This window comes from Homo sapiens, chromosome 16 (assembly GCF_000001405.40).
Source record: "Homo sapiens chromosome 16, GRCh38.p14 Primary Assembly".
NCBI lineage: Eukaryota > Metazoa > Chordata > Mammalia > Primates > Hominidae > Homo > Homo sapiens.
Genome location: NC_000016.10, coordinates 76530780 through 76545530, shown reverse-complemented (window position 1 = coordinate 76545530; position 14751 = coordinate 76530780). Strand labels below are relative to the sequence as shown.

Genomic DNA, 14751 nt, shown 5'->3' with positions numbered 1-14751 from the left:
CAGGTGACATCATTGTCAGAGGAATACACTTGCCCACTCCACGGGGACCACCTGCCTATGACTATACGTGCTTATGACAAAATCTCAACTTCCAAGTTATCATTTGTTCTACTATTAAAATCAGGTAATGTGATTCTTTCAACGTCATGAATACTTTTTGGATTTGGAACATGACACCTCTGATCTACTTTCATGTATTATGATTACGAGAATAAGCTTCTAGGTATGGCCAGCTCAATACAGTATGGCTAACCCTCTGGAATCGACTAAAGCCTTCACAAGAAGAAAGTCATGCTACGCACTGAAGACAGTCTATGACATTTTAATTATTAAAAAAATTAAAAATCAATGGACCTGATACATTTTTTTAAAAGATTGTAAGATAGATTTTGATTTTACTTTTCTTGCTCTAACTTGCACTTTCCTTTTAAAACATGCTTTTAAAATAACCAATCCATTATTTTGAAAATTATTTCATGATATATTTATAAAATCACAGTTCCCTTAATTTACCTAGGTCACCTTTTGTCTCACCTCTGAGCACTGAAGCAAGTTTTACATAAAGAATTTCTGATACATTGGAGATTTCTCTTATAGCTCATCAGAGGAGACTGAGTAGACTTCCTTTTCCTTGCTGCCTACACACTTTATTTACATCTGGCCTAAATCTCCACTGCAGTAATTTGAAAGTACATCTTGGCTCTGCAGCCCCAAAAAAGAGAAATGATTATTATGGACCACCGTATCTAATATAGAAAAGCTATATGCTGAGAAAGAGTGAAAACAATCTCTCAGTTTTTACCTAAATAAATCATAAAACTAATCTAACATATAAAAGTGTCCAGGAATAGAACTCAAGAGCTTAATTTTATAGTAAAATTAAATATAAAAAGCAAATGCAATGTAGTCTGCTGATTATGAGAGGATCTGAACTCAGCTGTTTAACTAAAACCTTTATCTTCCCACTATAGCTCTAAACTTTCAATATATTATTATTGCCAAAGTTATTAAGTACTTCTATATTTTAATTGTAACAGGTAGTTAGAAATGGTTACCATGTCATCAGAGTACAGTTTGATACTGTTTCTTAAAATTCACCCACCTTTCTCAATATCTGCTAGTAATATTTTTTAACAGGGTCAGCAATTCAAAATTACCCCTAGAATGTTTTCTACATTTAAGAAATGAGTACTGGAAAAATTCAAGAGAGGGGAGATATTTCCTTTATATCTCTTTTTCCACCTGAAAAAGCATGGGACAGTTATATACTTAAGTCGTTTGTTGTAATTGTAGGCAAATTACAACTCCAAAAAAAAAAAAGGCAATGTTTATATGCTACTCCCTTAGAAGAAATATCCAGACATTATAAAAACAGAAGAATTTTAATATATTTTAATTTGGAGGGTAATTTGGGACTACTTTATCTAAAGCAATATTGGGGCACATTACACTCATGTCGATACAAAGGCACATTTTGTTATCACGATTATCGAAATCCCCACTGCCATAAGCTCTGTAAGGGCAGATGTAACGTCTACCTTGTTGAGTGGCGTTCTCTGTTTACATGGTAGGTGATCACAAGGTATGTATTTAATATATGAATCAAGGAGTCACCTGGGCTTACAAAAATGCAAAACATATTTGATAAGTGCGGAAACGTGAGAATGTGCCTCAAAGACCACGAACTACAGGGAGATTAATTGACCAAGGGTCCCCACTGCTGGGCTCTGAAATCCATCCTCATGCTTGTACCAAGGCCATGATTCCCAAGGACTGCCCCCAGCCAGTGGCAGGTCACAGCAGGCATTCCAAGACAGGCTCATCCCTGGCAAACAAGGGACTCCTCTGGAGGCTGACTTTAACTCAATGGCTCCCTGAACATTGCTAAATCTTTCTTAGACTGCACATTGGTCTGAGACACTTCTGTGCTTCTGTCTAATTTTCCCTCTCTTTCTCCATCCCTGTAGACAGAGTGTCATGGACATCTAACGGTCCTGTCTGCCTTAGCCAGCTCCTTCACATTTTCTCTTACATGATTGTTCCCTTAATAAAATCCTCATATGCTTAATCCTGTCTTCACAGCTGTTGTTTGGAGGACCTGGACTAACACAGTAAGTGACTTCAAGACAGAACAATTCTCTTTGAAATATTAATAACTCTTGTTGATCTATTTCACTATAAATATACTGCATTAAAATATAAGGATATACTATGTAACATGTTGCTATAAATTCATATACCACACAAAATTTGACCACAAGTTATGGGTTTCCTTTGAATTACAAATGATTAGTCCCTAATCAAGATCCATACCTTAGACATATGCCAAATAAATTATCACTTATACTTTTAGGAGAGTCAGTTGACTGAGACCATAAAGTTCATTGCTCAGTTTGGACTTTCACTTTTCAGCATATATGATATGCATATTTGGATAATATGCAACTCTTGAGTAAAAACCTTAACGTCTTTAATTCTATAGGAATCTCCCTTATTCATTTACAAAAAGGGAAATGAGGACTTATATAGTGAATGTTATTCTACTGTTTGGTTAATACAATCCTCCTTATAGGATGAAAATCAGCTTCCCAATTGTTTTATAATATGTTGAATATATTTCTACTCACAGTGGTATAATATCTTGCACAGAAAACCTACTTAAAATTTCTTCTTGACATCTTGACATAGTATCAGCTTATAATTCCACTCATTAATGGTATCTACTGTACTAGTGTAGAGTTTGGGGGACGAGGACTCTTCCAAATCACAGTTGCACATATTTTTAATTCTGTAAATAACAATAGTTATGTGGCAGGTAGGCTTAAGTGAGGACAGAATAAGGAGCTGAGTCTTCTGTGAGCCTGATGTTCAGCAAAGAGGTTTTTAGACAGATTGCCTCATTGCAGAGGTTGGGGCTCCACCCTATGATCCCTACATCTTTGCCTCATCCTGGGTCTCTCTGGGGCTCTCATCCCTTTCCCAGCCACCTGCACGCTTACCTCCCCCAAAGCTGAGAGCCATCTGTAGGGAAGTAGATGGGTCCCACAGTTAAAACAGTTGAGGCTTTGTTTTTGTTGCTGCTTGTTTGTTTAGACTTTTACAATTCTCTTTGGCTTCCTACGCTATGCCATAGCTATACATGGAATAAGACCCTCTAATGTTATTAAAAAATAATGTTCAGAAATACCTTAGTCACATATCCAAAGCTAAATAGGCAGAGCTAGATAGTTACATACCCAGAGCTGAATAGTCTCCTAGACACTAATGTTCTTACCTCCACAGTGGCCTGAAATAGCTATAAATATTTCCCAATACTAAATATGAAATAACTGAATATATTCTCTTTTGTTTTTAACAAAGGGAGAGCCTAGCCATGTTTTTCTATGCATCTGAAGTTTTGTCTAAAGCTAATACCCATGTGCACAGACTTAAGAGTGCACACGGTCTTATCTGTTAATTATACATCAGAGGACAAGACTTGAATCAACGGAATAAAGTAGAATCGTCATTTCATGCTAAATATGTTATTGGCTATATACATATTCTTAGAGCAAATGATACACATGTCAGTCTTAAATAGCTGGATTTATATAATAACACTGTGAGACTCCCTTGGAATTTTTCAGTTAAGCTTCCAAACATCTAAGAAGTACTTTGCACATATTTTTTTCTGTCCACTATAGATAATGGAAGAACATTGCAATTCATGGTATTTCCCCTGTTTGTTTGGAGAATAAGAACACATAATCTTGGTGCTCATCATAGCACTTGAAAGCCTGTAAATATTTATTTGCTGAACTATTAACCTCAGGGGCCAATATTTTGATCATTCACCTATGGGTTTAATCAAACATTCTCAAGGTTCTGAGATTAGCTACAGGCAACATAAGGAATGATTAATTGAGGTACAAATAACTGCAAAGGTCAAAAAATAAAATTCCATTTACTATCTTGGACAAAATATTTCAGATTAGTGTCAAATACCAGAGTAGGAATAAAAATTAGGCTACAAGAGCCCCCCTCTCCTCAAATAAGGTGAAATTCCAATACTCTTAATGATTAATGTATAACTAAAAAATAAATATCTATTAAAATTTACTTTTCAATTTAATCCTTGTTGGCAAGTGTAAAAAAATGCAAACATATTCTGATGTTAAAATGGCAACAGTGCATTTCTACTCCAGTGCTGTAATTAAAGGTAATTGATGGAAATAAATAAGCATTATAAGGCATTTAGATTGCATCTGAGCAAGCGTGGCTGCCAAGGGCAACATTGCAACAAAGCAAATAGAATCCAAGTCATAACCTGAAACATATTAACTAACTAGAAGAAAAAGTAATTGCATTCTTCTTCCATTTTTTAAATCTAATCTTAGTTTTATCATTAGAGGAAAGTTTGTATATTTGGCACCTAATTAATACATACTTTGTTATTTTTTATTTTCAATTATTTAATATTTTTGAAATGTGAGAATAATACCATATTTCATTATACTTTATTGAGACAGGACTGAGACCAGAGTGACCTTACCATCAAAGGAAGATGCTTGCTCATCACACAGGACGCCCCTACTCATGCCTGCATATGCCTCTGTCTTGATTATCACTCACTTCATAATCAAAATAGGCAAGGGATTTCCTTTGCCATGACGAAGTGGGTGTGTGTAATATGACTTTTCTGATCCATGCTTATGTATCATGATTAGCATGGTTAGGGGAAAGGTTGTTTCTTTCACTTACCTAAAATCCTGCCCAATACCAGAGATTTGACTGCACTGAATTCTGTGCCTGATGACAGGTGAACTTGTCTCCTTCTATTATCGTCAATCTACAAAATTATTACACAAGATAAAAACATCCAAATGGATGACGTTTTGTTGAGAAGACAGGAAGCAACAGAGGACAAGAGAAAAAGATACATTAAGCAGTTGTTAGCATGGCCCCAAACATTTAGAAAAAAACAAAATTTAAAAGCTTAGCCACTTAGAAAGGTTTTTCTAAGTGTTATTATATAATTATTAATATATAATACAATATTAGTATTATTTCTATACTACCCTCAGATGCCAGTGCACCCTACCTTCTATCCCCTTGTATCATTTTATTTTTCTCCACTGGATAAGGAATCCAAAATTGATGAAGCCAACAAAAAGATACAAAAGGTTATTTTTCACCTTAACACTTTTACTTGGTATTTTTATTTGAGGTAGGCAGCTAAGAAATTTTCTTCTAGGCAGAGAACCAAAAAATTATTAGTGCTTTTCTTCAAAAACTGGCTCCATGAATAATTCCATTTTCTTTGCTGTGACTCATATCATTAACAAAAATTCTGATATTACAATCATTATTTTCTGATAGATTTATTACTGCATTTATCTAAAGTAAACCGGTTTCATTAGCATAGCAATGGTCCTACCAGTAGCACACTATGACATCATTTTCCTTCTGAGCAGAAACAAGTTAGAAAAGATTGGCATTTAAAGTATCCGATGTTAATAATATAATGAACAAAATCTTATTGCTTAAAAGAATCCTGACTACATTTGAGGTCTATTATCTGCAGAAGAAGACCAATGAAAGTGTCTCTGCTTATTGTGTTCATTATCAAATTTCTGCTTGAGATCCTTCATGCTGGAGAGTCATTAAAATGATTGCTTCTGCTGAATTTACTACATTACCTCTATAAAGACCACTCCTTCTTCTCTGTTAATCATTATGTGGTGAAGTTGTCCATCAGCCATGTTTTTAAAATCAAAGTTAACAACATCAGGCTCTTGATATTTATTTAACTTGTACCTGATCTGCAAACTTCCTAGAGTGGGGAAAAATTGTGATTCTTTTAGTAAAAATCGTACTTTGAGAGCGGCTTACTTAAAAATCAGAGTGATTTTTTGTTGCTATTTATTCATTTCGAGGGAAAAATTGGAAGATACCTTTTTATAATCCCCAAGAGTCAGTTTCCAAGTGAAATTGCAATAATGTATTTGCAAAATCATGACCAAGTATGTTGCACACAAGCACTCTCTTTCCTGCAAATCTTTTAATTTAACATCAACTCAGATTAAGCATATGCAAATCTCTGCACTTGCCTCTCACTTAAAAAATAATATTAAGTATTTCTGAAATGCCAACCTATTGCTTAATATTGCAATAATATTCTGTTCCTATATTTAAAAAATATATCTCACACTCTGGAAATACAACAATTAATGAAATTATTAAACACAAATGTAGTTTTACTAAAGAGAAGAAATATGTCCAAGTAGTCATGGTCATAGACTTTGAAATGAAATAATGGTAAGATGAATGATTTTAAGCCAAATTTACCATCACAATTAGTACTACTCATTTAATTGCCTGCAGAGATGTCAGTTAATTTATTTCACAGGATATCTTTCAATTTGACAAAGAAAATGCCCTAATATATAAATAAGCTTCAAGCTCAAAATGCACAGTAAGAATAAATACACTTATCGAACAATCTTATTTTTATTTTGGTGTTCAGTACAGTACCCTTGGGATATATTTGAATCAGTTGAAATGATATAGTCACATGTTTGTATGTTTGCTTTTCTTATCCAGAGAAGTTATTTCCAAAATTTTTACCTTTAATCTAGATGTGGGAAAGAGAAAAATAGCAGTAAATGGTTTTCTGTAGGAAACACATTTCCTAATCTACATTCCCTTAACACTGCATGGATATAACATTTTTTTCCCATGATGATTTTTTTAACTAAAAGTACAACTAAAAGGTCATCTTGTGGACATATTCTTACTCAAAATGCTGGTTTATTAACACTCCCTTAATGTTTCTTTACTTTGATTTGCAGGAAATAGTTACATACAACAAGACACCTTATTTCAAAATGAACTATGAAACAAATATTGATAGCCATATGGAATAGTCAAGGAGCTTCTAACAATAATATAATAAATGTTTTATATAAATAAAATTATACATTGAATATGTAAAATTATCAAAATCATAAAGAGATAAGGGCATCTTAATCATTTTAAATAATCCTTTTAGATTATACTTATAGGATAGTACTAAAAATATGACTACAAAAAACAGGCACACTCCATTTTTCTGTTTGTAGCTTGAGAAGCCAGAACACGAGAATGATCCATATTATTACAGAGCTAGTGTTCTAATTTAATTTTCTCTCTCTCATCTAAAAAGAACTCACCATTTTTGGCAATGATCACAGAAAGGTATTCTTTGTAAAAGGAGCTCACAAAAAGCAGCAAGCTTGGTGTTCGTGTTGTTCGGAAACTAAATTTGATCATTTCTCTGCTCAGCTTCATATCACCATGAAATGAAGCAGCGTGGGAGCTGGAGTTTTTACTTAAAAGATAATTTTCTTGAAAATTGTATATCACGGATGAGCCAGATCCAAAATATGCAGAAATCTCTGAAATAATATATATATATATTTTTGTTAAAAATTTTAAGTACAAGGATTTTGTTTTAGTTACAATAATTATATTTTAGTTTCTTTAATGAATTGCATAGATAGAAGAACCAACCCCAAAATAGAATCAAATAATAAAGTAAGTTAATAGAGCTTTCAAAATGATCTTTGAAATGGCTTTCTGTTAAAATGACATATAATTAATGCACTAGTATAATTTTACAGTTGAAAGTTAAATGCTTTCTTATCTGAGTTCAAACACAAACCAGGCTTGTCTTCTATCTCCTTGATCATCTACTTTTTTATTTAAATTTTAACTCCCATCTGTTATATTGCAGATAGTACAATCTTAAATGAAGTGTATCTTAAAGGAAGTCTAGGGCCTCCTATCTACAAAATAGTTAGGAAGGAAGGATGTTTGAGAGACTCTCTTCTTTCCCAGGATCAAGAGGCAGAAATTTTCCTTTATGTCTAAACATTTTCTCATAGTTATTGTGTACTATAAAAAGAAAGCTAAGTCTAGTATTAACATGATACAGGGAAACAGGATCAACAAACAGAACTAACCAACCTCTTTTAAATCATTTTACAAAAGTGTAGTATTTTCCTGGTATGAGATTAATATCCCAAATTCTCTCTGTCTTCCTCTCTCTCTCTCTCACACACACACACCAAATACATATGTATGAAAATGAAGAAGATGGCAGAAGAAATAACTAGTTTTAAATCCCTGAATCTGCTTCTCTCCATTACTGAAAAAGGACTGGTTATTGAATACAAGTTGTAGATGATACTTACTGGATCATACAGTAATGTTTAGGCTCCCTTGACATCTTAGAGTTTTTAATTGTTTCATTATTTTATTATCTATAACACGCATTTTATATTCAATATAATATGTGCATACAGAGTAACATTTACGGTTGCACTTAGCAAGATGAACTGGAAATTATTTATATCCAGAAAACAAAGACATGTTATTTTAATGAAGTGGTCTTAATGATCACTTTAAACATGAAAAGTGTCCTAGAATGGTACCAGCAGTATATGATTATGATCACAAGTTGATTTGTAAATTATAGATTATTCCTGAGAAAAGCAGATGACTTGAAAAGAGCATTTGGCCATCTTTTTATTAACTCATCCCATGCTTTCTTTGTAAGTCAGGAGTTGTTTTAATCTGGAGCCAAGTTTTGTTAGCCTCCTTCAGGAAAAGGTTCAATAGCCAAGAGACACTTTAAATAAAGTAAATGAATTTAAATTGGATGTCAGTCTTCTATGAGGAACTATGAAAGAGTAATAAATGTTTGTATATTCATGGAAGTCTGTCCAGAACACTTAATCCTACAACTGTTCTTTTCTTCTTCCATGAGGCATATCAGATAATGAGAGAAGCTGAAAAGTATTCTACTATTTTATTTCACCAGCAGATATTCAACATATCATACAATAAAATGTATGATTAATGTATAAATGTGTCTATTTTTGTAATGCATCGATATTTAATGGTATATTGTTTATATTTCTGGAAAAACTATGTCTGAAAAACTCAAATAAAAAACAATGCATCTTAAATATCCTTGCATTGTTGAATATCTTCAACAAATACAATAGTAACAGGGCCGGGCATGGGGACTCACGTCTGTAATCCCAGCACTTTGGGAGGCTCAGGTGGGTGGATTACTTGAGGTCGGGAACTTGAGACCAGCCTGGGCAACATGGTGAAACACTATCTCTACTAAAAATACAACAATTAGCTGGGCATAGTGGTGGGCTCCTGTAAGCCCAGCTACTCGGGAGGCGGAGGCAGGAGAATCGCTTGAACCTGGGAGGTGGAGGTTGCAGTGAGCCGAGATTGCGCCACTGCACTCCAGCCTGGGTGACAGAGTGACAGAGTAAGACTCAGTCTCAAATAAAAAAAAAAGTAATGCTTTAAATGATTTTAAAATAAAGAATTGCCCCATGGGGCAGGTTGCTGACAGCCATATTATTTAAGAGCATCAACACTAGGTAGAAAAAAGCAGATTGAGCAACTAACACTTTATAATACATAAAGGTGACTATTAATGGATTTACCATCAACAAACACTAGTTTTTCATAAATGAGTCAAATATTTAAGTAATGAAATATGATGCGCTCCATCTTTGAATATATGATGCTGTCTCATCACCAGGATCTTGTACTCATTCTTTACATTCAACAGATACTTTGCCAAAGCAATTCAGAAATTGAATTTTTTTTGTTTCAAATAGCTGCATAGAAAAGAACTGCCAGACATTTAATCCACATTGAATAAATTTTCCTCTTACAGTCTTCCATGCCACACTTACCATTTGAGCAGAATGGCCCTGTGTATGCAGAGAAAGTGCAGTCACAAAAGAACCCAATGGGTCTTTCTCTGCATTTCCCTCCATTGCGGCATAACTTCCCATAGCTGCTGCAATGTCCCCTACAACCTGGCTGCACTTCTGGAGTCACCTGGGCTCTTTCTTCCAAATCCAGGGTCATCCCATTCAACTGCAGAGACCGAATGCAGCCCAGAAAGCCTCTCTGTCTGGTGGCCGTTCCACCTAAAAGGGAAATACTGCAAATGGAAACATGTTCCTAGGTGTTTTATTCAGGGTTTAAAGACCAAACAAAACTGAGGCCTTACAGAGAACGGCAAAAAAAATGGATGAGCAAATATAATTTTGGAAACACAATTCATGGTCAAATATAGACTCCAAGAAAGATACAACTTTAATTCAATTTTTTTAAAAGTTGAATATGTTACATTTTTTTTCTAAAAAATATTTATTGATCTTTAAATTGAGGAATAAAATAGAGGTCATACACTACTCTCATTGAAAATAACAGTGACATGTATCGTTATTTTAATGTAGAAACTACTTTCTGGGAATTTGAATAAGTATATATTGCTGGGTAAGTGTGGTTTGTCCTTCATATTTAAACCTGATCTTGATTCTGGTACAGTTTTAACTTTGTGAGAATTATGAAGGAGTCCTTGAGATCTTCTGATGGTGCATTGATATGGTCCTTTGGTTGTTATCCATTCATTGAAAAGATGGTAATTGAATGTCAGATTATTTGTTTTTGGCTGACATATTTCCCAGTGATTGTTTTTCTAAAGATTAGTCTAGTGTTCAGTGTTTTATGCTTGGAAAGATTCTTAACAAAATTGCAAAAGGGGATCGATACAGAAATAAGTGATGTAACGGTAACGTTTATTGAATACATAACCATATGTACCTATCAAGTCATCCTTGAAGAGGTCTACAATGTTGGGTTGGAATCAGACCCTATTATTCTAAGGTAGAGTTTCTCAAACTTTAAGAAATATGGGTAACACATAATCACACGGAGAGCTTCTAATAAATAGACTCGGTAGCTTGCTCCAAGAAATACTGGTTCTGTGGTCCAAAAATAGGGTTGTGAATCTCAACAGTTAACAAAGCTTGCAGGAGATTCTAATTCAGATGATCACTAGACCATCATTGTATAAGCACTACCCTGATAGAAGTGTAAGCCCTGGGTAGATTCATACATAAATTTGTGTCCAGGAATACTCTTAAGTTAATGCTCAGAACTTGAAGCGGGAAAAGAGTACCCTAACCTAAATAACCTGGCAATTCTATTGAGAGGCAATTAGATGGTTATGAGGCCTCTAAAAAGAAGCTCCATCTTTGGATAAATGATGGTGTCTCATCACCAGGACCTTGTATGTACTCTTTACATATAAATTCTCTTTTCCTAAAACATGTTCACTTCGTTTCTTCCAAATCATTTAGGTAGCTCCTTAACCTAGCCTTCATTCAACAAGGGCTACTTCAATTGCTACTGTATATCCAGCACAAAGAACAGTGGTAGACAAATAATTTCTGTGTTATAACTATGAAATCCATCCATTCATTTGTTAAACCACAATATACATAGAAATGGGAGAAATGGGCATAGTGCTTCAAGGGTAAAGGGGGACCCCTTTTGCCCCACAGAGATGCTTGGGTCTCTGAGACTGAGAATGAGGCCCGAATTTAATGAACATTTCTAATAAACTAATTATCTCTTTGCAAATAATGAAAGACTATGAAAAGGAACCTCTAAGAATTCCTGAGAATTCTGGACTTACGGACACTAACACTATTCAGAATTCAGATTCATAGCTATAACTATATCCAAATTGCTGTATTTAAATGTCTATTCAAAATGTTTCCATTTACATACTTGGTTTCTCCTCAGTGAAGGATGCCAAGGTCTTAAGGGTGTTGGCTGTTCTATTTATAAATCTATTTATAAATCTAGAGAGTGTCAACATATTGCCATTGTCACAAGTGGGCATGGTAGGCATGGAGTTAATTTCATCACAGAGTTTTGGAATGCCTGGAAATCTTCTTGTTTAATTCCTCCTACATTTACATTTACTTCTGCCATTTTTTTTTTAAGATTTTTAATATGGGTGCCCAATTGAGTTGTTTATTCCTTTTTGTTGTTCTGTTGTAAAAATTAATAGACACATAATAATTGTTCATATTTATGGGGTACATAATGTTGTGATATACATGATATTAGTGATCAGATCAGAGTAGTTAGCATCACCATCACCTCAAACATTTATCATTTTTTAGTGTTGGGAACATTCAATATCTTCCTAGTTATTTGAAACTACATATTATTGTAAACTATAGTCATTCTACAGTGGCATACAACACTAGAACTTTTTCCTCCTGTCTAGCTGTAATAGTATATCCTTTAACAAATCTCTGTGCCCCTTCCCTGTACCCTCCCCATCTTCTAGTATCCTCTGTTCTACTTTTTACTTATGAGATCACCCTTTCCTTAGCTTCCTTATATGAGTGATACCATGCTGTGTTTAACTTTCTGTTCCTGGTTTATTTCACTAAACATAATGCCCTTCAGTTCCATCCATGTTGCTGTGAGTGACAGGATTTTATTCTTTTTTATGCCTGAATTGTATTCCATTACATATATACACCACTTTTTTTTTATCGATTCATTTGTTATTGGACAACTGGGTTGATTCCACATCTTGGCTATTGTCAATAGTGTTGCAATAAACTTAGGGGTGCAGCTGTCTTTTCAATACACTGATTTTCTTTTCTTTGGATAAATGCCCATTATTGAGATTGCTGGATCACATTGTAGTTCTATTTGTAGTTTTTTGAGGACCTGCCGTTCTTGAAGTCTCTCTTCTGCCCTTATCCTCAGGATTTTTCTTTTTCTTCCTTACCAGAGCTGCTACTTCTTTATCTTCACACCTCCCTATTCTTCCACTCTGTTGACTCAACTCAGTGAGCTCCCAGGGCTCAAAGTCTTTGGCCAGGATTCTTTTGGCGTCCTTGTTGGATATTTCTTCCCTGGGTAAGGTCCAGCTCACATCTTGGTTTTCACTTTGGCACAGGAACTTTTTGCAGGGGGGCCACATTCTGTGAACTCTGAATTAAAGGTGTGCTCTTGGTGTATTTAATTTACTTTGTATTATCCCACATTAAATCATGGTATACAGTCTACAGTATACAGTAACATTAAATCACATTGTTATACATTTGCTGCTCTGAAACATGCACAGTCTCCCTAACTCACAGGCTTATCTCATTCTGCCAGTAACAACGTAACTAAATAACTTGGGGTCCAACAACTGACTAAAGTCCATTTCCAGCTGTTCTGATTTTTTTGTGTTTGTTTAGTTTGTTTTGGATGATGGGAAACTAGGGGCATAGAGAATTTCAAAGATTGGTCCACAGGTCCATCTGAGGAAATACTAGAATAAACACATTTCGTTAGAGGCAGAGGCAGGATTCAGACCCACAGATAGCCTTCCATTCCAAGGAAGTTTCTTTGCACTTCACACCACTATCTGGTAAAAGAAGACTTATCCGTTTTCTTGTATGCATCAGCTCATCTTTGGATTGAACAACACTTCAGCTCTCCAAGCTTTATTTAGCAGCTCTTTCTGGGCACTGAAGGTATGAAACTATATGAAATCAATCTTGCTGACAAAAAGCTCTAGTAATAAATTTAGATGGGGAAACACAAGATTACTACAAGATAATAAAAATAAATACACAGTAAAGAAGAAGGTCAGAGTGTGGGGTGAGTAGCAGAAGAAAATAAATGTATATACATGTGAAATATATGCTTAGATAATATTTGTAAGAGTGAGAAGAAAATCAGTACACAACTTTAAAAACATGACATCTTAATTCTGTACTTTCGTTATTTACCTAACCAAATAGTTTTAAGCCACACTCTAAATGACCAGAAAACATAATGTCTAATTAGACACAAACCGTTGTGTCATACATGTATTTAGAATTTTTCCTTTACTGTTAGGTTTCAAGTCAGTAACTTTATTTTCAGATGTAACTATTTGAAAAACGTGGCTAATGTAAATAGGACTGGGCTTGAAAGCTTAATTAAAGATTCCAGTGCCTTTTCAGGGTTAGAGTGTGTCCAATTAAAATGAGTTGCAGTTTGGTTAATTGATTCTGGATGTTTCCACTGAGCTATTACGTTTGGAACTGTCTTCCAATTAATTTTCTATCAATTTACCTGCCATGTTATATCAGATATAATGAATTTCGGGACTTCACAAACACTGAGTATCCTGTGAAACAAATGCCCAACCTTTCCGTGTTTATTGAGTTTAACTGAACCTGTCCACTTATGCAATGGTATTGAGGGCCTGCATCTGAATAATTTCTCTGGGTGCTGAGTAGAGACCCAGCACCAAACCCTTTCCTCATGTTTATTATTCTCAGGAAATTACTATAAGCGACAGACGTTATTGTCATGGAGTAGAAGCTGGTTCTTTCCTATGCCAATTTTCCACTATTTTTGTGGCAGAAAGACCTTTGAGATTACACTTTAAATTTTTAATGGCAAATTATTCATGTGCTGTGCTTGAATATTATTGAGAATTAATTGGGAACAACTGCATAACTCACCCACTCACCCAGGGGCCTTACAGAAATAAAGAAATCAAGATCCTCAACCTTCTCTTTAAAATTCAAAGCTATAGAGATTTGCCTGGCACAGTACAAGGACACTGCCTGACTTTGACACTATGGCAAAGAAAAACAGGCAAAGCCTCAACCACAAATTAACTTGGGGCAGAATAGTGACAGGGCATGCAGGCTGGGCCCAGGACCAAGTCAGGAGATTGAAGGGAAAAAGTTGTCTTCTATATGTCAAGCATTGGACCGTCAACCCTGTTCGCTTCCTGGTGGAAAACTCTGCCTTGCAGAAATAGTGCTGTTGGTTAACATAGAAGGTAGGGAATCTGGAGGCCCAGCTCTAAGTTTGTCACGCAATGTTCTT

At 34.9% G+C, this 14751-nt stretch overlaps 1 protein-coding gene across 15 annotated transcripts in view; it reads right to left on the bottom strand.

Moving 5' to 3' along the window:
- The window catches only part of CNTNAP4 (contactin associated protein family member 4), a 283357-nt gene that overhangs the window by 15227 nt on the left and 253379 nt on the right, over positions 1-14751 (bottom strand). For 14 of the 15 annotated variants that reach the window (NR_136216.2, NR_136210.2, NR_136213.2 and 11 more), the window contains 4 exons: positions 9747-9986; positions 7191-7415; positions 5679-5812; positions 4741-4828 (listed from right to left, as the gene is read on the bottom strand). Coding sequence is in view for 12 of the 15 variants with exons in the window: in NM_001322189.2 (NP_001309118.1) it covers positions 4741-4828; positions 5679-5812; positions 7191-7415; positions 9747-9986 (687 nt within the window). In the remaining 3 variants the exon portion in view is untranslated. The remainder of the gene's footprint in view (positions 1-4740; positions 4829-5678; positions 5813-7190; positions 7416-9746; positions 9987-14751) is intronic. The other variant, NM_001322179.2, reaches the window with a different exon arrangement.